Here is a 25,893-nt window from a genome sequence, read left to right on the forward strand (position 1 = left end):
AAAGTACAAAAGTTAATTTTAGAGTAGTTAGTTAGCTTTCAATGGATGACAGCTGTCCTGGTCACTCAGCACCCCCATGTTCATTGCAGCATTAATAACAGTAGCCAAGATATGAAAACAGCCTGCATGTCCATCAATAGATGGATGCATATAAAATATAGTACACACACACACACACACACACACACATACACAATGGAATATTATTCAGCCATAAAAAAACAAGAAAATGCTGCCATTTCCAACAATATGGATTATACTAAGTGAAATAAGCCAGACACAGAAAGAAAACTACCGCATGATGTCACTTACATGTGGAATTTTTAAAAGTCAAACTCACTGTAGCAGAGAGTAGAAGGGTAGTTACCAGAGGCTGGTGGGGGGGGGGGGGTGGGCAGTGGAAATGAGATGTTAGTCAAAAGGTACAAACTTGCAATTACAGGATTGATAGGTCTTGGGGATCTAACAGATAGCATGGGGACAACAGTTAATAATATTGCATTGTATATTTGAAATTTTCTAAGAGAATAGACTTTTTTCTTTTTATATGGTATATATTTTATTAGGTTTGTACAAATATATTCTCATATTACAAATGCAATTTAGTGGATGCATCTTCCTTTGATATTTGAATCATCTGAAATAACACAAACAGAACTATACATTCAAAAGAATCCTCATTTGGATAACAAAAAAAGACAAGTTAAACAACAAAAAGCTTTTCCTTTCTCACAGGTGGACACTGAAGTAGATCCAATTTGGTTTTCATTTTAAAAGCCCCCCAAACCAAAAGCAGCTTAAAAACTAATTAAAATGGATTTAAAACTTGTTTACTAAGCTATTGGTCTCTAGCATCATTTTCTGTTTTCTGTTGTTTTGATGCAGATTCTTCTTTGTCTGTTTCTTCTCTTGTTCTTTTTCACTGGTCCAGTTGCACCATTTTCATCATGTTCATCATCACTAACAAATTTCATTTTCTTACCCTGAAGCTGTACTTTTCCTTTAACAAACTCAGGCGAGGCAGCTTTATTAACCTTTCCTTTTAAATCTGCGACCTTTTGACTTCCATTTGTTTAGGGGTTCGTGTTGGTCTTTCATGATTTTTTCAATGCTTCTTTTTCCACCTGTCCTTCTAGTACTTCTCAAGTCACTTCTTTGTTAATTGTAGATTACCATTATTTGCATCTTTGGCTTTACCCAATGCTTCCTCGACTTTTTCTTTAAATCGAATTATTCCCTCTTTTGCACCTCTGACAACGTCTATCCATTTTAGTTCACCGTGACTTGAGAAAAGGATGTGTGAACCTTCTCTACAGGTCTGATCATCTAAGTCACCCAAAAATTTCAGCAAGCATCCAGTCTTTTTTTTCTAGAGATTTCATTTCAGCATCATGTAGCTTTTATTTTTCTTCTTGCTCTTCTTTAGCTCTTAATTTATCCTCCATATTATTTTGTCTGCTTTCTTCACTTTTTTCAGCAAAGTAATATTCTTTGAAAAGTATTAGTAGGCTGTGTCTTTGTACTTCTGGCCAGGGGTCTCTACAAACTTTTTGGCAGATTTAATGTTATCAAACACAGCAAACACTGATCCTTTAACTGCTTTATGCAATGTTCTTCTCATCGGTACATTTTGTACTTGACCTCTATCTTCTAATCATTCTTTTATGTCATCAACAGTTGCATCAGTTGGGAAGCCTTTGATACAAATAGATGTTTTTTACATCATTTTTATACCCATCGGTCACTTCAAGGAGGGGTTTACTTGGAGACATTCTGGTTTTAGTTTTATCTTCACTGATTTCCATGAGTTCTGCCTTGGATGTCCTCAGTGCTTCCACAATTACATTAAAGTCTGTTGTGAGATGGTTTAACCTGTTGAATTTTATCAATATCTCCAAAGGTACCCACCGTTCATTTAGTTTAACCTGTTCCTTTAAAAATTTGTCCCACAGCAAATTGAAGTCTCCAAATTAATACTCAATTTGATGACAGATTTTGGCCTTCAGACCAGCATTTTCAGCCACTGTGGCATTCTTTAAGATCCCAGTCCTGCAGAGTCAAGCCACAAGCTCACAAACAACAACAGTAACATCTTGACTTCCCCCAGTAGCTCTTAAGTGTTCTTACCACACACACAAAAAATGGTAACTATGTGAGGTAACAGTATGTCAGTTAACTTGATTGTAGTCATCATTTTGCAATGCATACATATGTCAAATAATCATGTTATACACCTTCAATGCATACAATTTTTGTTGATGAATTGTACCTCAATGAAACTTGAAAAAATATTTTAATAAAGTAAAATAAAATTTGCATTTCTGATTTTATGAACCTGTCTTTTACCCTAGGAAGGCCAGGTCAAGGTTGGGGAAGGGAGGAAAGAATGATCTCTTTTTCTTAGTCATCCATATAATTTCTTTATGTTGAAAATGTCTTCCTAATGCTTACTTTTGTTTTACTTATAATCTCTTAAAATGGAAAGATTTTAATGTAATCAAATATTTAGTATTTTCCTTTATAATATCTGCATAAAAGGCAAAAGAAGGGAGGAAATATGAAAATGAATGAGATTCAAGTTTAATAGAATTTGGCAAAAATAGCACCTTTTTCTTTTTAAATGATATTTGCTCTAGCATATGTGTATATTTGCTTATGTTTGTAGCTGATACCAGTTCTTGAGGTAAAGAAATTATTTCAGGTCTTGCCTATGATGGGTATCTTTGTAAGATCACTCTAAGTCCAGTGGAAGTTTTCTCAATTATGCAGGTGTAATATCTCCACAGTCATCTCATTTCAGGAGAATAAGGCTTAAACACACATGACTCATGCCACTCAAATGCCAGTAAGACCGCTAACCAAATATTCATTTAAAATTGGAAGCAAGTTCATAAAGCAATCAGTTAGTCAGCTGAACAAAGCGTCCCCTCCATAAAGAACAGAGTCATGAATGAGTGTAAGAAGTTACTTAGATAATATAGAACCAGAGAAAAAGGAGTTGGGAATGGCACTATCCTAATACCTGTCTTTGAATTATTGACTGAGACACAGTCTTTATTTAATAGGGCCTAAATGGACTATTATGATTTGATTGCTATGACTGTGAGTAAACAAACAATTGTCCTTTTCTTATCATCACATTTATGACTTGTAGCATTGTTTTTATCAGTATATATTTGGAATATTTGATGAGCATCTTTTGGCCTTTTTTGAAGACATCCAAGTCAAATGTAGGATTCCAATTCTTCTTGAGTTAAATAAACTGACTTGTTAGTCTTGTTACTTGGGGGGTTTCCCACACATTGAGTGTCATGTTAAGCAAAATTTACTCCTAAAAGACAATTTAATGGGGTTGATGAGTAGGATACACAGGTGTGCAAAAATTGCAAAACTAATTGAAGATAATGAATGCTCCACTGCTCTGCCCTGGAGCCACAGAACAGCAGGTAACATGTCTTAGCTTTTTCTTTATTCTGTTTTTCAACATCTTCTTTGCCAATTGAGAAATCTGTTTATTTTCGGTACATTTAGAGTTTGGCAGTTTAAAATTTTCTGTTATTTATTTCCAAACCATCTGAAAATTTGTCAGTTTTTGTTTAACCTGTTAAAAATATTGAGTTGCATTTGTAGCTTTATACAAAGTAGTCGCTGGTTTCCAATATAGTTAAGGTTTGTAGATAAACACCAGTCCTAAGTAGAAATATTTCTATACCTCCAGCCAATAGGTAGACATGTGCATTATCAGATCTGATCATACTGGGTGATCAATGGAGATTAAATGTTTCCAATTTCATTACATGCATCTGATTAATTATCTGAGTACCAATTAGGCAAGCATTATTCTTTGCAATTCTAGAAAGAGACAAAATATGTGTTCCAAAGGTGGCTGGGTTGTTGTTGTTGTTTTGAGATAGAGTCTCGTTGTGTCACCCAGGCTGGAGTGCAGTGGTGCGATCGGGGCTCACTGCAACCTCTGCCTCCCAGGTTCAAGCGATTCTCCTGCCTCAGCCTCCTGAGTAGCTGGGCACACACCACCGCCCCCAGCTAATTTTTGTATTTCTAGTAGAGATGGGGTTTCACCATGTTGGTCATGCTGGTTTCGAACTTCTGACCTCAGGTGATCTGCCTGCCTCAGCTTCCCAAAGTGCTGGGATTACAGGCGTGAGCCATCGCACCCTGCCAAAATGGCTTTTTGAAAAGCTCTTTGAAAAGATGACATCCACATGTGAAAAGGTAAACATTAGGAAAGTTAAACAGCCTATAAAAAACAGTGAAATAGGTGTTTCCAGGAATTATACGTTAATATAATACATAGAATAAATGCTGGGTTCAAATTAGTTTAGGGAAAAGGTCAATAAGCAAACTTGGTCAGAGATTGTTCCATTTCTGGTCGGACTTGAAGGATGGATAGAATTTGGGAAGAACAGAAGATAAGGGTGAAACTGTGGTTGGTTGGAGATACTAAATTGTGTGAACAGAAATGTTCTATTATTAGGTTAATGGCATGTTTGAACACTTCTTTTGTGTTCATGGGAACTGTTTTAATAACGTTATAACAAAGCATATTCTATTGTTCAGAGTTTTGCTTTATGGACTTAACTGAGATTTCTCAGAAGCATGCTGTATGCTTGTTTTCCATTTTTACTAGCACTGGTACATAACCTGATACATAAAAGTCATTTACCAAATCTTAGATGAATGAAATGAGGCAAAAATAAATTCTGATAGATTTTTCTTTAATTCCTGGAGGTTACATTTTCAGTGAGAAAGGCAAGGGATACCTGAATATTCTCTGGTTTAAAGTGATATTCTATTGGCTTTCCTCTAAAAAGGAGATGAATTGAAAAACACACTTGAAAATACTGTGTTACTGCTGAAAGAAATCATAGATGACATAAACAAATGCAAAAGCATTCCTCACTAATGAATTGGAAGAATCAATATTGCTAAAATGTCCATCTGTCCAAAGCAATCTAGAGACTCAATTCTATTCCTATCAAATTGCCAACATCATTTTTCACAGAGTTAGAGAATTATTCCAAAATTCTCACTGTTGGTGAGAATGTAAAATTATTTCAGTCCCTGTGGAAAGCAGTTTGGAGATTTCTCAAAAAAAAAAATTTGAACTACCATTTGACCCAGCAATTCTATTACTACATATAAACCCAAAGGAAAATAAATTGTTCTACCAAAAAGACACCTGCACTCATATGTTCATTGGAGCACTATTCACAATAGCAAAGACATGAAATCAACCTAGGCACCCATCAATGGTGGATTGGATAAAGAAAATGTGGTACATATACCCCCATGGAATACTACACAGCCATAAAAAAGGATGAAATCATATCCTTTGCAGCAACTTGGATGCAGCTAGAGGCCATTGTCCTAGGTAAATTAACATAGAAACAGAAAATCAAATATAGTATGTTCTCACTTACAATGGGAGCTAATTCCTGAGTACACACAAAGATGGGAATGATAGACACTGCGGACTGCTAGAGTGGGGAGGGAGAAGGGCAAGGACTGAAAATCTCCCTATTGGTTACTATGTTCACTATCTGGGTGACAGGATCAGTAAAAGCTCAAAGATCAGCATCTGGCAATATACTATACCTTGTAACAAATCTGCACATATACCCATGAATCTAAAATTAAAATTATTTTTAAAAGAGATTCAGGCCAGGTATGGTGGCTCACACCTGTAATCCCAGAACTTGAGGAGGCTGAGGCAGGAGGATCACTTGAGCTCAGGAGTTCAAGACCAGCCTGGGCAACAAAGTGCGACCCCTAGAGAGAGACAGAGACAGAGACAGAGAGAGAGAGAGAGAGGGAAATTCAAATCACAAAAACTAAAAAATAATCCTATGTTAAAGTTAAATAGGATTATTTTTATGTATTAATGTATTCACTCAATAAATATTTATTGGATACTTAGTACACACTGGATACTACTGTTCTGGGGAAGATGATATAGTGATTAACAAAGTTAATAAAACTTCTGTCCTCATGGAGCTTACATTCTGGTAGAGGGAAACAAACTAATTTGTTAAAAAAGTAAAAATTATTATATGAACTGTAGTTTGTAGAAATTGACCAAATTGTTCGCTTCTTTCTGTATCCCCACCTTGGCTGTGTCATGTCACCATGCCTGAATTCTGATTCTGCATTTGGCCATGCCACCTGCTTTAGCCAATGGGGCACCTTGCTAGTTTGCTGATGGTTGAGAGGCACATGCCACAGAGGCAAGACTCCCACCTCACTGGGCCCCACCTAGATTAGCCAGCAGCCAGGGGAGCCACAGACCTGGAAACGAGCCTAGCCCACATCAGTGGAGCTGCCTAGAGACCCACAGTTGGCCACAGACACAGGACAGATCAGACAAGCACTGCACACTTGGAGCTAAATAAACGTTTACTGTTGCACACCATGGGATTTGAGGTTCTGTGTGAATGCAGCATTTTTGCAGCAATGGTGATAATTGTGTTTGAGAAAAATAAAACTGCAAATGTCAACAGGGAGAGCAGGGAGGGGGTCGTTTGCAAGTTTATGTAAGGTAATCAGGGAACGTCTCCCTGAGAAGATGACACTTGAGAAAAGACTTCAGGAGGTGGGAGAGGGACCTATGTCTCTATCCAGGACGGAAGGGGGAGTGCTTCAAGCTGAGAAAAGAACATGTCCGAAGAGAGAGCCTCCTATGTCTGAGGATCCCAAGAAAGTCAGTGTGACCGGAGCAATGGCGAAGAGATGAAGGAGATGAGGTCAGTAAAACCAAGGGAACAGAACAGACCCAAATTCTGTGGCTCTCCAGGAATTCTCAAAGCTGTGTTATGCTTACACGCCTTGTGAATTCTAGAATGGGCATTTGGAGTTCTGCAATTCCTCACATGTACTTGATAATCCAACCCTTTTTTATACAGAGCATCTCAAAGCAAGAGAGCCTGCAGAACCCTCCTGTGGGAGGGCTAATTTATTGACATGCAGATAAATGTGTTGCCTTAATCTTAAGGTCCCAGGCTAGGCCCAGATAGAAATGTCTGAGACAGGTTGAAGCTAGCACCCTGAGTATGTTCCAGAGGATCCAGGCTCTCAGGTGGAGCCAAGTCAGCTTCAAATCACACCCCTCCAGCTACGTGACTTGACATGCAGCACATATACTGGATTTTATCATTAGAAAAGTTTCACATGTGGCATATTACGTCAGCACATGAATGTTCCAAATGAAATAAAATTCTACCAGGGGAAAAAATTAGATAGTGTGTTAAAATACACGGAAGTTATAAATCACTAAAACATCCAGGCTTTCCATTAACAAAGAAAAAAAAAAAAGCCAGGGTAGATTCTCCAGATGGTCTCAATCCACATCATTTGGGTGGAAACCAAATGCTTCAACCTGTCTCGGCAAAGAACATCTCGTTTCGAAATAAAAGTAAGAAATGGAATGCCTATGGTGATTTTGAAGATGGATTAATGTTTAAGTGACTTACATTAAAATGCACATGGCTATCGATTTCCTACAGGACGTATCATCTCAACCCAAAGCCCTTACGCTGGAGAGGTTCTGCTGTCTGTGTTGAATTTAAGACAAATGTATACATGACACAAGCATTTTCATTCATAGTCTATTATTTTATTCTAAACTCCCCTCTTTTCCTAACTCCTTCATTATACCTTTTCACCCCCACTCCTGGCAATTATAGCTACTTCTTTTAAAGCAATAAAGGATTTTAAAGGGGAGAATGTATAGCATCTCCACCAAGTACAATCCACAATGTGTATTTTATTTGAGTTGTTAAAGTTCTTGGCCATCAGAGATACTACTGAGTATATTATGGCTTCCGTATTTTCCATCTGTCTTATTTACATATTGATATAAAATGGCATGTGTAGAAACACCTTGAAATAATGTAAATTAAGCATTTTGCAAAGGAACATGTCCCTTAAACAGCATAGTACATACATTTTTTAAAGTTTCCATGTAAGTAGGAAATATCTTTCTGCAAACTGAGAAGAGGCAAATTTTCCTTTGCTCCCTTGAAAGGTCTGTATTTCCTCTGTTCATGACTGATCAGACTCTTCTAATTCCTTTTCAAAACTGTAGGCCCAAAGGAGACTTTTCCCCCAATTTCTGATCCACATAGCTTACAGGGGAGACTTAGAAAATATCTGTAATATCCAGGAAATGGTGTGTATGAGACAGCCAGAAGCAAGTCTCTGAGATTCTCCTGCTATGCAACCTACTATCTACCTCCTTCCAGAAATGTCTGGGTTATTCCTCCTATTGGAATGGAGACTCCACATGTAAGCATCACGCTGCATCCTTAGAGGTAGTAGAGGGGGAATATCTATTGTTTACCTACCTTAAGAGAAGCCCTCTCTACTAGATCCTCAAAAATATCAAAGTATGGCACCATTCCTGGCCACAAGACAGATACATTATAGTTGGGTAAATAAGGTAGCATTTCTATTTTAAAAAAATATTAATTATTCAAAATAAATTGAGTTCAGATACTAATACTATATTAATAGAAGTGCAATAGAATAAGAACTTACTCTGGGATGAGTCAGGCCATCCGGGTAAACTTCAGAGGGGTAGAGACTTTGATTTCACAGCTTTGATAACACAGCTTTGAGAATTCCTTGTAACATAAGCCCTGCACTCAGGCAGGTTGAGAGACGTGGAGGTGGCTGCAAGCAAGGCTTTTGGTGGGTACATCTATTCCTTAAAACAAATAAATAAATAAAAATAAAATATATTTAGTGAATCGGATACTATCATAGGTGGAGAGACAGTAAAAAAAAAAAAGCAAGATAGAATGTCAGGTCCTTTAGATTTAATATTATAGAGTAAAAAAGCAACAAACATGTAATGGGAAAAAAAATCATCACATCAAATTGTGATAAGCATTATAGGAAAATAAAACAGGATGACGGCACAGGGAGGAATAGCCACTTCAACCAGGATGGTGAGGGAAGACCTTTTTAATGAGCTGGCATCAGAAAGCTCATCAGAAATTGACCTGGGACAATGGCTGGGCAGAGAATGTGCAGGGCAGGATTTCCTCAAGTCTAGGTTGTAGAACTCTGGCATCCTGGGACATGTCTAAAAGTGATAAGAAAAAAAGAACCTTTTCCATAAATTTCCCATGTGGAGATTCATAATACACATTAGCAAATTAGAGATGCTTGAAAGTCCACAGTAAGGAGAACCTATTCAACTCAATGCTTCTCTGACGTGCCTGAACATGATGGTTGTTTTTTGGGGTTAGTTGTATATGTCTGTGTTGGGAGTCATTGGGGAGGAGAGGCCAGTTGTACTCTAATAATATCTCTACTACTGGTTTGCAAAATGCTGTTCATGGCAAACTAAGAAGTTTGAAGACTCCAATAGAATAAAACCTGAATGGAGCCTCCTGTAGTTGTGCAACATGTTGGCCTGTTTAGAGTTTGATCTATAATAAATAAGAAGCCATTTTAATTTTCGTACAGGAAACATACAGGGTAAAAGTGTCTGTTTTGATAGTGTTACCCTGACAGTGATAATGCTGAGTAAAGTTAATGAAGGAAAGAAAACACAGAGTAGTTGGGAAAGTATTGCTCTAGCCTAGGCAAGAATGCTTGAACCTCAACAACAGCAAAGGAAATGAACAGCCAAGGGAAGATATGAAAGATTACTAAAGAAGAATTTGCCAAACAAGAGAAATTGCCAGATATCTGGAACATGGGAAAGATACTAAATATTGAGTTGGAAGCAGTGGGTTGGTATTAAGGTGATAAATCAGAAATAACAACAAAAAAGTAAATAACATTATAACAAGCAAACTGAGGACAGGCAAGGACAGCGGATGAAATGGCAATAAGGATTGAAACAAAATTTTGGTTATGATATGAATAGCCTAGAGTGAAAACTTTAGGAGTTTATTACTCATTTTATAAGGAAGCTACTAAAGCTTTCTTAGTAGGGCATGGGAAGATTAGCAGTATATTTTTGTAAGCTTTGTTGGGTACCAGTGTAGTTTAGAATTAACTGGAGAAGGGAGACAGTGGAGCAGTGTCTAAGAGACAACAGTGGGAAAAGGAAAGAGGAGAGACTCAAGCTGTTTCACTGCTAGAATATGGCAACAGGCAGGGCCAAGTTTATAGCAAGCACTCACAGGTACAGAAAAGTCAAGCATGGGCCGGGCGCGGAGGCTCACGCCTGTAATCCCAGCACTTTGGAGGGCCGAGGCGGGCGGATCACGAGGTCAGGAGATCGTGACCATCCTGGCTAACACGGTGGAAAGCCCATCTCTACTTAAAAAAAAAAAAAAAAAAAAAAAAAAAATTAGCTGGGCGTGGTCGTGGGCGCCTATAGTCCCAGCTACTCGGGAGGCTGCACTCCAGCCTGGGCGACAGATACTCCGTCTCAAAAAAAACAAAACAAAAACAAAAACAAAAACAAAAATCAAGCATGATAATATTGTTATCAAAATATCAGAATGGAAAGAGGGGGAAGGCAGTCAAAGTTAAGGGTGGAGGCAGCAGGTGAATCAGAACAGATTCTCAGTTCCATCTGGAACAAGTTAAGTTTGAGTAGCTGGTGGGTTAATCAGGAAGACACATTCTGCAGACAGCCAAAGCTGAAGGGAGATGAAGATTGTAGAGACAATTAGGTTATCACTGAGGTTAAAAGTACCAAACAAGACTGTCCTGCCTCCACGACTTACTCTCTGTGTGACTCTGTGAAAGTTACTTATCTTTTCTGTGACTCAGTTTTCTCTCTCTCTTTTTTTTTTTTTTGAGTTGGAGTCTCACACTGTTGCCCAGGCTGGAGTGGAGTGGTGCAATCTCGGCTCACTGCAACCTCTGCCTCCCAGGTTCAAGCCAGTCTCCTTGCCTCAGCCTCCCAAGTAGCTGGGATTACAGGTTCCCACCACCACGCTCCGCTAATTTTTGTATTTTTATTAGAGTCAGGGTTTCACTATGTTGGCCAGGCTGGTCTTGAACTCCTCACCTCAGGCAATCCTCCCACCTCAGCCTCCCAAAGTGCTGGGATTACAGGCATGAGCCACCGTGCCTGGCAGAAAATAACATTTTAATTTTGTCATCATGTTTACATAAGTTCCAATTTTTTTTAGGTCATGTAAATATAGAGCAATTTAGGCAGAGAATAATTTCAATTATTGACCACAAGAATTGTTTGTTTGTTTGTTTTAAAGAAAGATTTTTTTCTTTTCTCTCAAAATGGTACTGTGACCATAAAGACATTTTCCTATAAATTCATAAAGAAAATAAAGATAGTTTGGTGCTTAACACTCGAGACACCTGGAGGTAAAATAAATAGTTGCCAAGGATTGTATTTACAATTATATTTTATATGAAGTAACACATGGTCTTATTAGCTTCAGTTTAATATAATTCTCCCTGCAAATGTCAGTGGAAGTGAAAAGAATCTTCCAAAGAAGCTGAACCGGAAGCCGATATGCTTACAAGCATGGGCGTTGGGTTGTGTTTTGATTTGGTAGGGAAAGTAATGGAAAACTCTGGGCTTCCTAGGTCCCTCTTCCTTGACGTATAGGCCACAGTGATTTGGCAAAAGCAGAACTGAAGCAGAACTTTCTGAATTTTTTCAGCGGTAGTATATGACCCCATTATACACACCAACTGTGTGGGCTGAGCACGTGTGAGCAATGGAAGTGAACAACCTAACACAAGATGAGACAAGGATGATTTAGTGAAGAGTCGCAACGCCTTGAGAACATAGCCATAAAGCAGGTTTATTTTCCCAATCATTGTTAACAAATATGCTCTGCTCATTAAGATCACATTTTTTTTTCAAGCTTGTTAGCTCATCTGATCATATAAATTTTCACTTGTTTTATGTCATTAGAGGAGTTCCTTTTTCCCGCTCCGGCGCCTCATTGTTGGAGCAGGGCCATCTCCACATGGGACTTCAGGGAGGGAGGCTGCCGCTCTCCCTGAACGCTGCGATCGCTGAGGCCTAGAGGCTGGGTATGAACACAAGTGTTCTTCCAGCTTCCTACTACCTGCTGTTTTTGAGTCTAAAATTATCAGAGATTGTTCATATTTATTCATTTATTTTTGAGATAGAGTCTCACTCTGTCGCCCAGGCTGGAGTGCAATGGCACAGTCTCGGCTCACTGCAACCTCTGCCTGCCGGGTTCAAGCAATTCTCCTGCCTCAGCCTCCTGAGCAGCTGGGATCACAGGCGTGCGCCACCATGCCCAGCTAATTTTTTGTATTTTTAGTCCAGACAGGGTTTCATGAGGCTGGTCAGGCTGGTCTCAAACTCCTGACCTCGTGATCTGCCCACCTCGGCCTCCCAAAGTGCTGGGATTACAGTCATGAGCCACTGCGCCTGGCCCTAATATTTATTATATGCATGACCCTGAAGTGGCCAGGAAAAGCTGAGATTGGGAGGTAAACCAGACAAATGAAACTATAACAGGGCCAGGATTAGAAATCTCCTCCCAAATTCCCACTTCATGGCTCAACTACTAACTAAAACCCTGGTGCTCCTCTGAGCAATAGGAAGTTAAGTAAATTTTCCAAAGCCATTAAGAAAGCTATGCTTGTTTAAACTCTCAGTGTAACCTGAAATAGTTTGAAACAACTGTTTAGAAAAAGTGGGGAATAAACGCTATAGAGGGAAAGTAGGAAATAATAACATAGATAAACAGGCAATAAACAAGAAAATGGCTTTTGTATCAAAGACAGACAGAAAACATTTTTTTCTTGATGGTTCACTTTCCACACATGGAAGTTAAGCTTAACAAAAGAAGAACTGTTTTCTGTCTTTCCCATCTTTATCTGTATCCCTCGGCACCAACAGTAGTACCTACCACACAACTGGCTCTCAATAAATAATTTGAATCAATGAATCAATTGATAATTTTGGCCAGATTTTTAAATAGATTATGGACAAAATTGATACGAGTAATAGTGATACAGCGGTAGTACCTGGCACATAATTGGCTCTCAATAAATAATTTGAATCAATCAACCAATTAATAATTTTAGCCAGATTTTAAAGAGGTTATGGACAAGTGATACAAGTAATAGGATCAACACAGGTTTTCAATACAATAATTAGATTATAGCACTGAACGTCTCTGTCAAATATTAAATGCTCTCATTTAGCTTCCAGATGTTCTTTTCATTCCTGCATTAGAATATTTATCAGACTGCTGTAGCCATTTGTTCACATGTCTGTCTGCCCCACTAGACCACCACGCCTGCCTTTCTCCTGCTTGTATGTGTCTGGCACATAGCGTTCAATAAATATTTGATGAGTGAAGGAACAAATAATAGGTACCTGGAGAGCAAACATTCCAGATGCGTTACTAATTGAGATGTCAGAAATCCTTCAACTTTTCGATGAAAAAACAACCGTAGGGTAATATGCTTCTCAAGGTTTCTCAGGCCCGATGAACGATTTTGGTTTATTTTTCCATTCCTCAAATGCAGTGGCGGGGAAAAACGCGTTTCTTCCGCTGAAGTTACAGAGATGAGCACATGATGGCGCTCGCGCTGCACCGTAAACCCAGAAGCAGCTGAGCAGTGTGGATCCCTGGGCTCCTCCACGTCCCTCCCTCTCCTCTTCTGCCCCCATTCTTCTGCTGTTTCCCCTCCGATCCTCCCTCCTACCCATCCATTCAAGCTCCATACATATTAACAGTTGCCAAGAAGCTGTCAGAACGGAACTGGGGTACTGTCCACCTGAAGCTGGTATTTTCTTTGTTCTGTGACAGGCCAAATTCTGTGTACTCCTTTTTTTTTTTTTTTTAGAAGAACATTTTGAATGCTGTTTAAATTGTGTATCTGTAGTTCAGGATAGTTATTTTTACTTTGCCCTTCATTGGCCCCTGCAAGTACCTATCCTTCCTAAGCAAAATAACCAAGAGAGCAAATGGTGTCCTAAGTCATTATAATCCCCTCAGCTAGGGAAATTGAAACCTAAGCCTTTGCCAACATATACAGAAGAAGTAGACAGTTACAGACGATTGCTACGTTCAGTGCAGATTGGAAAAGTTGGAGAACAAAAATAAGTTACATGATAATCACTTACCTGTTAAGAATTAAAAGTGAGTTTAGAAAGTAGATAACTAATGCAGTTTTAAAAAATGGAAAGAGTAGCCCGGCATGGTGGCTTGTGCCTGTAGTCCCAGCTGCTACAGAGTCTGAGCAGGGAGGATCACTTGAGCCCAGGAGGTCGAGGCTGCCGTGAGACATGATCACGCTACTGCACTTTAGCCTGGGTGGATGACAGAGAGACCCTATCTCAAAAAAAAAAAAAAAAAAGAAAGAAAGAAAGGGAATGGGGATAGAAGTTTTTAATTCAGTCTTTAAAGTGGGGTTTTCTTTTCTTTTTGATTGAGGCAAGCATTATATACGAGGGCTTGCTCCAAGGTTTATGTTTTGTTATAATTTACATTTAATAAAGTGTATTCATTTAAGGAAATAATCCAGTGAGTTTTGACAAATGTGTATACACTAATGTAAAACACTGCCACAATCAAGACGCATGACTTTTCCAATGCGTGAGAATGTTTCCTCATGATCTCTCAGGCCAGTCCCTGCCCTCACTGGTTTCTATTACCTGAGAACACTTCTACCTGACTTTGACCTTCATGTAAATGGACTCACACAGTATACATGCGTTTTTTGTGTCTGGCTTCTTTTGCCCAATATATTTTTGATGTTCATCCACACTGTAGAGTGCATTTGTACTTTATTCTTTTATTGCTGAATAGTGTTCAACTATATGAACATAATTTTTTATTCGTTTTCTTCGTAAATCCTTAAAATGTTTCCAGTTTTGACTACTATCACTAAAGCTTCCATAAACATTCTTATATATGTATTTGTGTGGATATATGCTTTCTTTTATTTAGGTGAATACCTAAGAGTGGAATTGCTGGGTCATAGGGAAGTTGTAGGTGTTTAATATTACAAGACACTGCCAACATTTTTCAAAGTGGTGGTGTTCCTTTCCTAGGAATTCCATAACAAAATACCAAAAACTGGGTGGATCAGAACAAGAGAAATTTATTCTCTGAGTTCAGGAGTCCAGGAGTCCAGTATCAAGGTGTTCTCAGAGCCACACTCCCTCTGACAGCTCTAGGAAAGAATCCTTCCTTGCCCCTTCCAACTTCTGGTGGTTGCTGGCAACCCTTGGCATTCCTTAGTTTGTGGCAGCATAATTTCAATCTCTGCCTCAAGCTCATCTGTCTTCACTTGGCCTCTTCCCTGTATGTCTCCTCTGTGTCTCTGTGTATCAATTTCCATCCTCTAATAAGGACACCAGTCATTTGATTTAGGACCCATTCTAAACCAGCATGACCTCATTATAACTTGATTACACCTGTAAATATCCCATTTTCAAATAAGGTCACATTCTGAGGTTCCAGTTAGACATGAAGTTGGGGGACACTATTCAACCCCATACAGTGGTTGAACAGTTTTACAATTTCCACCACATGTATGAGAATTCCAGTTTCTTCACATCCTCAGCAGTGCTGGATATTGTCATTGTCAATTCTAAAATTTTAGCCATTGTTGTGTGTGTGTAGTGGTACCTCATTTGGGCTTCAAATTTCAATTCCCAGATAACAATTGATGTTGAGCTTCTTTTCATGAACTTGGCCATTTAGGGATCTTCCTTTAGAAAAGTATCTGTCTTTTGCTCATTTAAAAATTAGGCTATTTTTCTTCTTTTAAATTGATTTTTAGGAGTTTTTTATGTCATTTTTAGGAGAGATAAATCGTTTGTCGGATACATGTATTGCAAATACTTTGTCTCCCAATCTGTGACTTCACTTTTCATTTCCTCTTTTTTTTTTTCTTTCTGAGATGGAGTCTCACTGTGTTGCCCAGGCTGGAGTGCAGTGGCACAATCTCGGCTCACTACAACCTCCACCACCCAGGTTCAAGCCATTCTCCTGCCTCAGCCTGCCAAGTAGCTGGGATTACAGGTGGCGATCACTGCAACCTGGCTAATATTTTGTATTTTTAGTAGAGATGGGGTTTTACCATGTTGGCCAGGCAGGTCTCAAACTCCTGACCTTAAGTGATCCACCCCCTGGGTCTCTCAAAGTGCTGGGATTACAGGTGTAAGCCACCATGCCCGGACCACTTTTCATTTTCTACAGTCTTTCAATCAATGGAAGTTTAATTCAGGTAAAGTCAAATTTTTAACTCTTTCCTTTATATTTATTGCTTTTTGTGTCCCCTCTGAGCAATCCACCCAAACTTAAAGCTGCAAAAATATTGCATTTTCCTCCAGAAGCTCTATAGTTTTACGGTACCACAATGATTCTAAGAGACCTGCAGCCCTAACCACATAGCTAAAACTATAATCTATCCTAAACTGATTTTTGCATATGCTGTAAGAATTAAAGTTCATTTTTTCCCCACATTTGTGTAGTTGTTGTGGCTCTATTTGTTGAAAAGAAACTTCTTTCTCCATTAAACAGCATTAACTGAAAAATTGTTGACTGTTTACGTTGTGTTGAAAATTAATTAATGGCATATATTTTGTTCCAACCATCTCCTTGCCTGCTCACGCCATATTGTTTAGGTTACTATCATTTTATAGTCTTAAAGTCAGATAGTGTGAGTCGTCCAACATTGTTCTTTTGACGGGTAGTATCGTCTCTTATAGATACTTTTCATTTGCATGTAAATTTCAGAATTAACTTTTCCGTTTCCACCAAAAAAGAAAAAATACCTTTTTGGATTTCACTGGGATTAAATTGAATTTATAGTAAGTAGGCTTTTTAATAGTTAATTTGTAAAACCCATTTCTTGCTCAGAAAGCCTCATCTTCTAATCTTATTTAATTTTCCCAAAAGTGTCTTGTTTTTGAAAAATATGTATAAATGTCTCAAGCCAGATCAGAACCTATTTTGAAAATCTTGGAAATCATCCAATCCATTTTAAGCAACTCTGCCTTGAAAAAAGAAACTTCTTCCCGATAATTTAAGTCTGTGGAAAGATTTTTCTGACATTAAAAAATGTACATACTTGGAGGGAGGAGCCAAGATGGCCGAATAGGAACAGCTCCGGTCTACAGCTCCCAGCGTGAGCGACGCAGAAGACGGGTGATTTCTGCATTTCCATCTGAGGTACCGGGTTCATCTCACTAGGGAGTGCCAGACAGTGGGCGCAGGCCAGCGGGTGCGCGCACCGTGCTCGAGCCGAAGCAGGGCGAGGCATTGCCTCACTCGGGAAGCGCAAGGGGTCAGGGAGTTCCCTTTCCGAGTCAAAGAAAGGGGTGACGGACGCACCTGGAAAATCGGGTCACTCCCACCCGAATACTGCGCTTTTCTGACCGGCTTAAGAAACGGCGCACCACGAGACTATATCCCACACCTGGCTCGGCGGGTCCTACGCCCACGGAGTCTCGCTGATTGCTAGCACAGCAGTCTGTGATCAAACTGCAAGGCGGCAGCGAGGCTGGGGGAGGGGCGCCCGCCATTGCCCAGGCTTGCTTAGGTAGACAAAGCAGCCGGGAAGCTCGAACTGGCTGGAGCCCACCACAGCTCAAGGAGGCCTGCCTGCCTCTGTAGGCTCCACCTCTGGGGGCAGGGCACAGACAAACAAAAAGACAGCAGTAACCTCAGCAGACTTAAATGTCCCTGTCTGACAGCTTTGAAGAGAGCAGTGGTTCTCCCAGCACGCAGCTGGAGATCTGAGAACGGGCAGACTGCCTCCTCAAGTGGGTCCCTGACCCCTGACCCCCGAGCAGCCTAACTGGGAGGCACCCCCCAGCAGGGGCACACTGACATCTCACATGGCAGCATATTCCAACAGACCTGCAGCTGAGGGTCCTGTCTGTTAGAAGGAAAACTAACAAACAGAAAGGACATCCACACCAAAAACCCATCTGTGCATCATCATCATCAAAGACCAAAAGTAGATAAAACCACAAAGATGAGGAAAAAAGAGAACAGAAAAACTGGAAACTCTAAAAAGCAGAGCGCCTCTCCTCCTCCAAAGGAACGCAGTTCCTCACCAGCAACGGAAGAAAGCTGGATGGAGAATGACTTTGACGAGCTGAGAGAAGAAGGCTTCAGACAATCAAATTACTCTGAGCTACGGGAGGACATTCAAACCAAAGGCAAAGAAGTTGAAAACTTTGAAAAAAATTTAGAAGAATGTATAACTAGAATAACCAATACAGAGAAGTGCTTAAAGGAGCTGATGGAGCTGAAAACCAAGGCTCGAGAACTACGTGAAGAATGCAGAAGCCTCAGGAGCCGATGCGATCAACTGGAAGAAAGGGTATCAGCAATGGAAGATGAAATGAATGAAATGAAGCGAGATGGGAAGTTTAGAGAAAAAAGAATAAAAAGAAATGAGCAAAGCCTCCAAGAAATATGGGACTATGTGAAAAGACCAAATCTACGTCTGATTGGTGTACCTGAAAGTGATAGGGAGAATGGAACCAAGTTGGAAAACACTCTGCAGGATATTATCCAGGAGAACTTCCCCAATCTAGCAAGGCAGGCCAACATTCAGATTCAGGAAATACAGAGAACGCCACAAAGATACTCCTCAAGAAGAGCAACTCCAAGACACATAATTGTCAGATTCACCAAAGTTGAAGTGAAGGGAAAAACGTTAAGAGCAGCCAGAGAGAGAGGTCGGGTTACCCTCAAAGGGAAGACCATCAGACTAACAGCAGATCTCTTGGCAGAAACCCTACAAGCCAGAAGAGAGTGGGGGCCAATATTCAACATTCTTTAAGAAAAGAATTTTCAACCCAGAATTTCATATCCAGCCAAAGTAAGCTTCATAAGTGAAGGAGAAATAAAATCCTTTACAGAAAAGCAAATGCTGAGAGATTTTGTCACCACCAGGCCTGCCCTAAAAGAGCTCCTGAAGGAAGCGCTAAACATGGAAAGGAACAACGGGTACCAGCCGCTGCAAAATCATGCCAAAATGTAAAGACCATCGAGACTAGGAAGAAACTGCATCAACTAACGAGCAAAATAACCAGCTAACATCATAATGACAGGATCAAATTCACACATAACAATATTAACTTTAAATGTAAATGGACTAAATGCTCCAATTAAAAGACATAGACTGGCAAATTGGATAAAGAGTCAAGACCCATCAGTGTGCTGTATTCAGGAAACCCATCTCACGTGCAGAGACACACATAGGCTCAAAATAAAAGGATGGAGGAAGATCTACCAAGCAAATGGAAAACAAAAAAAGGCAGGGGTTGCAATCCTAGTCTCTGATAAAACAGACTTTAAACCAACAAAGATCAAAAGAGACAAAGAAGGCCATTACATAATGGTAAAGGGATCAATTCAACAAGAAGAGCTAACTATCCTAAATATATATGCACCCAATACAGGAGCACCCAGATTCATAAAGCAAGTCCTGAGTGACCTACAAAGAGACTTAGACTCCCACACATTAATAATGGGAGACTTTAACAGCCCACTGTCAACATTAGACAGATCAACGAGACAGAAAGTCGACAAGGATACCCAGGAATTGAACTCAGCTCTGCACCAAGCAGACCTAATAGACATCTACAGAACTCTCCACCCCAAATCAACAGAATATACATTTTTTTCAGCACCACACCACACCTATTCCAAAATTGACCACATAGTTGGAAGTAAAGCTCTCCTCAGCAAATGTAAAAGAACAGAGATTATAACAAACTTATCTCTCAGACCACAGTGCAATCAAACTAGAACTCAGGATTAAGAATCTCACTCAAAACCGCTCAACTTCTTGGAAACTGAACAACCTGCTCCTGAATGACTACTGGGTACATAACGAAATGAAGGCAGAAATAAAGATGTTCTTTGAAACCAACGAGAACAAAGACACAACATACCAGAATCTCTGGAACACATTCAAAGCAGTGTGTAGAGGGAAATTTATAGCACTAAATGCCCACAAGAGAAAGCAGGAAAGATCCAAAACTGACACCCTAACATCACAATTAGAAGAACTAGAAAAGCAAGAACAAACACATTCAAAAGCTAGCAGAAGGCAAGAAATAACTAAAATCAGAGCAGAACTGAAGGAAATAGAGACACAAAAAACCCTTCAAAAAATTAATGAATCCAGGAGCTGGTTTTTTGAAAGGATCAACAAAATTGATAGACCACTAGCAAGACTAATAAAGAAAAAAGAGAGAAGAATCAAATAGACACAATAAAAAATGATAAAGGGGATATCACCACCAATCCCACAGAAATACAAACTACCATCAGAGAATACTACAAACACCTCTATGCAAATAAACTAGAAAATCTAGAAGAAGTGGAGAAATTCCTCGACACATACACCCTCCCAAGACTAAACCCGGAAGAAATTGAATCTCTGAATAGACCAATAACAGGATCTGAAATTGTGGCAATAATCAATAGCTTACCAACCAAAAAGAGTCCAGGACCAGATGGATTCACAGCCGAATTCTACCAGAGGTAGAAGGAGGAACTGGTACCATTCCTTCTGAAACTATTCCAATCAATAAAAAAAGAGGGAATCCTCCCTAACTCATTTTATGAGGTCAGCATCATTCTGTTACCAAAGCCTGGCAGACACACAACCAAAAAAGAGAATTTTAGACCAATATCCTTGATGAACATTGATGCAAAAATCCTCAATAAAATACTGGCACAACGAATCCAGCAGCACATCAAAAAGCTTATCCACCATGATCAAGTGGGCTTCATCCCTGGGATGCAAGGCTTGTTCAATATACGCAAATCAATAAATGTAATCCAGCATATAAACAGAGCCAAAGACAAAAACCACATGATTATCTCAATAGATGCAGAAAAAGCCTTCGACAACATTCAACAACCCTTCATGCTAAAAACTCTCAATAAATTAGGTATCGATGGGACGTATTTCAAAATAATAAGAGCTATCTATGACAAACCCACAGCCAATATCATACTGAATGGGCAAAAACTGGAAGCATTCCCTTTGAAAACTGGCACAAGAAAGGGATGCCCTCTCTCACCACTCCTATTCAACATAGTGTTGGAAGTTCTGGCCAGGGCAATTAGGCAGGAGAAGGAAATAAAGGGTATTCAATTAGGAAAAGAGGAAATCAAATTGTCCCTGTTTGCAGATGACATGATTGTATATCTAGAAAACCCCATCGTCTCAGCCCAAAATCTCCTTAAGCTGATAAGCAACTTCAGCAAAGTCTCAGGATACAAAATCAATGTACAAAAATCACAAGCATTCTTATACACCAACAACAGACAGAGAGCCAAATCATGAGTGAACTCCCATTCACAATTGCTTCAAAGAGAATAAAATACCTAGGAATCCAACTCACAAGGGATGTGAAGGACCTCTTCAAGGAGAACTACAAACCACTGCTCAAGAAAATAAAAGAGGATACAAACAAACAGAAGAACATTCCATGCTCATGGGTAGGAAGAATCAATATCGTGAAAATGGCCATACTGCCCAAGGTAATTTACAGATTCAATGCCATCCCCATCAAGCTACCAGTGCCTTTCTTCACAGAATTGGAAAGAACTACTTTAAAGTTCATATGGAACCGAAAAAGAGCCCGCATCGCCAAGTCAATCCTAAGCCAAAGGAACAAAGCTGGAGGCATCACACTACCTGACTTCAAACTATACTACAAGGCTACAGTAACCGAAACAGCATGGTACTGGTACCAAAACAGAGATATAGATCAATGGAACAGAACAGAGCCCTCAGAAATAACGCCGCATATTTACAACTATCTGATCTTTGACAAACCTGAGAAAAACAAGCAATGGGGAAAGGATTCCCTATTTAATAAATGGTGCTGGGAAAACTGGCTAGCCATATGTAGAAAGCTGAAACTGGATCCCTTCCTTACACCTTATACAAAAATTAATTCAAGATGGATTAAAGACTTAAACGTTAGAACTAAAACCATAAAAACCCTAGAAGAAAACCTAGGTATTACCATTCAGGACATAGGCATGGGCAAGGGCTTCATGTCTAAAACACCAAAAGCAATGGCAACAAAAGCCAAAATTGATGAATGGGATCTAATTAAACTAAAGACCTTCTGCACAGCAAAAGAAACTACCATCAGAGTGAACAGGCAACCTACAAAATGGGAGAAAATTTTCGCAACCTACTCATCTGACAAAGGGCTAATATCCAGAATCTACAATGAACTCAAACAAATTTACAAGAAAAAAACAAACAACCCCATCAAAAAGTGGGTGAAGGACATGAACAGACACTTCTCAAAAGAAGACATTTATGCAGCCAAAAAACACATGAAAAAGTGCTCATCATCACTGGCCATCAGAGAAATGCAAATCAAAACCACAATGAGATACCATCTCACACCAGTTAGAATGGCGATCATTAAAAAGTCAGGAAACAACAGGTGCTGGAGAGGATGTGGAGAAATAGGAACACTTTTACACTGTTGGTGGGACTGTAAACTAGTTCAACCATTGTGGAAGTCAGTGTGGCGATTCCTCAGGGATCTAGAACTAGAAATACCATTTGACCCAGCCATCCCATTACTGGGTATATACCCAAAGGACTATAAATCATGCTGCTATAAAGACACATGCACACGTATGTTTATTGCGGCATTATTCACAATAGCAAAGACTTGGAACCAACCCAAATGTCCAACAATGATAGACTGGATTAAGAAAATGTGGCACATATACACCATGGAATACTATGCAGCCGTAAAAAATGATGAGTTCATGTCCATGGTAGGGACATGGATGAAATTGGAAATCATAATTCTCAGTAAACTATCGCAAGAACAAAAAACCAAATACCGCATATTCTCACTCATAGGTGGGAATTGAACAATGAGATCACATGGACACAGGAAGGGGAATATCACACTCTGGCGACTGTTGTGGGGTGGGGGGAGGGGGAGGGATAGCATTGGGAGATATACCTAATGCTAGATGATGAGTTAGTGGGTGCAGCACACCAGCATGGCACATGTATACGTATGTAACTAACCTGCACAATGTGCACATGTACCCTAAAACTTAAAGTATAATAAAAAATAAAAATAAAAAAATAAAAAATTGAAAAAAAATGTACATACTTATGATCAGCAACCCATAACTTCAAAAATGTTTCGGGAGCTTTTCTTAAAAATACTAATTTCCATTTCATTTAACTGTTAGCTACTAAATACTTCTCCATAGACTAGGTTTGATGGAACAATACTATCTAGTTATTTTAATTATGTTTAAATTATTAAAAAATTAAAAACAAATTCATTTTTCTTTACTTCTCTCTCTTACTCCTCTATCCACTTTAATGATATATTCACAATATATGTGTACAGAATGTTTGAAAAACAAACCACACACCTGCCACATTTTACTTTTCAAATGTTTTCAATCTTAGGTGTATTCTCAGTCTTGTTTGTGTTTCTTTCCACATGAGATATTTCACTAGGAAATACATGAAGAATTTAGAAACTTGAAAACTATGACCAAAGTTAAAATGTGAAAACAAATTCTTAATTATTGTTGTATCCCTACATTTCTTTCAGATATCTTGCTCCATGGCAGTGAAGTATGTTGAAGGGATTCAACCGCCCTGCCTCCCCAATATTCCATCCACTGTACCCCAACTTCTCCCCAGTTGTAAGTGACTGAAATACCTGAGTGGCAGCACACTGTCTTTCATCTTTTCAAGTCCAAAGGGCTGAGAGCTTTAAAATTAAGGAACTATTGGCTATGGTATCACAATGATTCTACGAGACCTGCAGCCCTAACCACATAGTTTGAAAATTAGTCTATATGTTGCAGGTGCCATCTGCTGGGATTGTCAAGGAACAATCTTCTGCTCCAAAGTCACGATGACTACCTCAAAGTTTAGGAGATTGGGTGGGGTGGGCCATGGGGAATAAGCAGGCACCCATCTTCTGGAAACACCGGCAGCTGCTGAGGTGCTGATAGTGCAGGCTCTCATGGTCATCTTTGCTCTTGTGTCATTCTGCAGCCTTTGAGCTTTCGCCCAGGATGGAAAGCTCAGAGCCAGGAGGCCACTCTCCCATTCAGATTCCCTCTGATGTTTGGCTGCCACAAAATCCCTCCAACTAGAAGAAATTGGTTTTGGACTACTCATTTCCTTTGCGTGATATTGCCCCTATTTTAGGTATAGAATACAATTTCATGTTTTAACCATTGGAAAAAAAACTGAAAATTATCATTTTCTCTCTCAATAAATTCTGACTTTCTATTGCCTGGATAAGATGTCAAAACTTCTTTATTGAAGAACAAAGACTAAAGATTAATTTTCTACTTTTAAATTAATAAAATTCTTAAATCTCCACTCCTTTCACCTTAACACCCTACACCACCCAGATCAGGCAGGGAGTTGCCCTTGGGCATCAAGGAAGTCACATACACGGAAAAGCAAAGAGGAGCAGCACACGCGTCTTTGTAAGTATCGCCTCATTTGTCATGACTTTTCTTCACTATCTCTGCCAGAACCAGCTACACAATTTGCGCACCAACTGCAAAATGAAAATGTGGGCCTCTTTTTAAAAAATTATTAAGAATTTCAAGACAGTGACAAGAAAGCATTAAACCAAACACCAGAGCCCTCTAAAGGTGGGGCCCTGTGTCACTGCACAGCTCACACACCCCTGCAGCTGGCCCTGGCCACTGCCTTAGTTCATGTCCTTGTCACCATGGTTATTATTCAGCTGCCTCCTAACTCATGTCCCTCTTTAGATTTTCTTTCTTCAGAATCATCCTATGCTTACTTTCCGTACACAAGGTATCTACAGCAGACCTCTAGTTCTCTCATCTCCCTGATTAAACCCACTAATAAGTCTCCCATGGGGTCATGTCCAAGTTATAAATGTGTACTTCAAGGTGCTCTTTGGTCTCACCTCTACTTGACCCGTCATCTCCATCTCTTTCCCCTTCCTTGTTCACACTCTGTGCTCCACCCAAGTGTGAAAATGCAATACTATTTAGGTATCACAGATTCAATTCTCACACAACTAGAGAAAAAAGGGAAGATAATGCTGGGCCGTGCTACACAGGAAGCTTTAATTTCAGGTTGTTAGTAGCCTATCCTTTCAGAAAACACACAGCTACCAGATATGCTCATTTGTCAGCACAAGAAAGCTACAGAACCAGAAAACATGATGGTGTTTTAAACGTGCTTGAGATTCGTAGACAGTCTCAATGTCACTATTTCCAATCCCACTGTAGCAAGAATTCCCAAATGTTCTAAAATTTAGAGATTTCATCACTCATGTATCCTTTATTTGTTTCCTGATCCTTTGAGCAGATTTTTATTGTACACTTTCTGTACGTCAGGTGCTTTGACAGGTGCTGAGCCAGAAAGACGAACAACAAACAAAAAATAAAAATGAAAAGAGATAACGTCTGTTTTCAAGCAGGTCATAGCATAAATAGGTTAAAGAAGCAGTTATAATATCATATACTATGGCTGTCATGTTGAGCACTGACTATGAGTCAAGTTCAGCATGGAGAGCTTCATATACGTTTTTGCTAATCCTCACAAAACTTAGGCATTCACGTTCCTATTTAACAAATGGGAAAGAGTGTAATAACTTGCCATAGGAAGAAGGTTATAAGCTAAGATTTACATCAAAGTTTCGTTCCAAAGCTCCGTTCTTTCCACTTTGTTACGCTGTGCTTTATATATACTGAGAATGGTGCTCTAAAGCAGGTGCACACACAGTGATGTGACTACCAAGTTTGCCCCAGGTTACCTAATAGGCTGGACAGAAGAGGATAAGAAGTGATTGGCCTGGTGGACAAAAGTGAAGGGCAAAGGAATGGCTGCCAAAGAAATACACGTTGCCAGACCCCAAAGAGCAGTGTATTCTGGGAACTGCGAGGTCTAGAAGGAAAG

General features: G+C 39.5%; 1 pseudogene, besides 1 other annotated feature; it reads right to left on the reverse strand.

Annotated features, from left to right (window-relative positions):
- Positions 1 to 620: 620 nt before the first annotated feature.
- Positions 621 to 25,893, reverse strand: part of LOC100130801 (lupus La protein-like) — a 28,279-nt pseudogene continuing 3,006 nt past the window's right edge.
- Positions 16,714 to 17,230: an enhancer, noted in NCBI's record as "H3K27ac-H3K4me1 hESC enhancer chr9:13037568-13038084 (GRCh37/hg19 assembly coordinates)". NCBI's record gives its function as "activates a minimal SCP1, AML or CMV promoter by ChIP-STARR-seq in primed H9 embryonic stem cells {active_cell/tissue: H9 hESC(primed)}" and the evidence as "EXISTENCE:reporter gene assay evidence [ECO:0000049][PMID:30033119]".

The sequence above is a fragment of the Homo sapiens genome, chromosome 9, assembly GCF_000001405.40.
Source record: "Homo sapiens chromosome 9, GRCh38.p14 Primary Assembly".
NCBI lineage: Eukaryota > Metazoa > Chordata > Mammalia > Primates > Hominidae > Homo > Homo sapiens.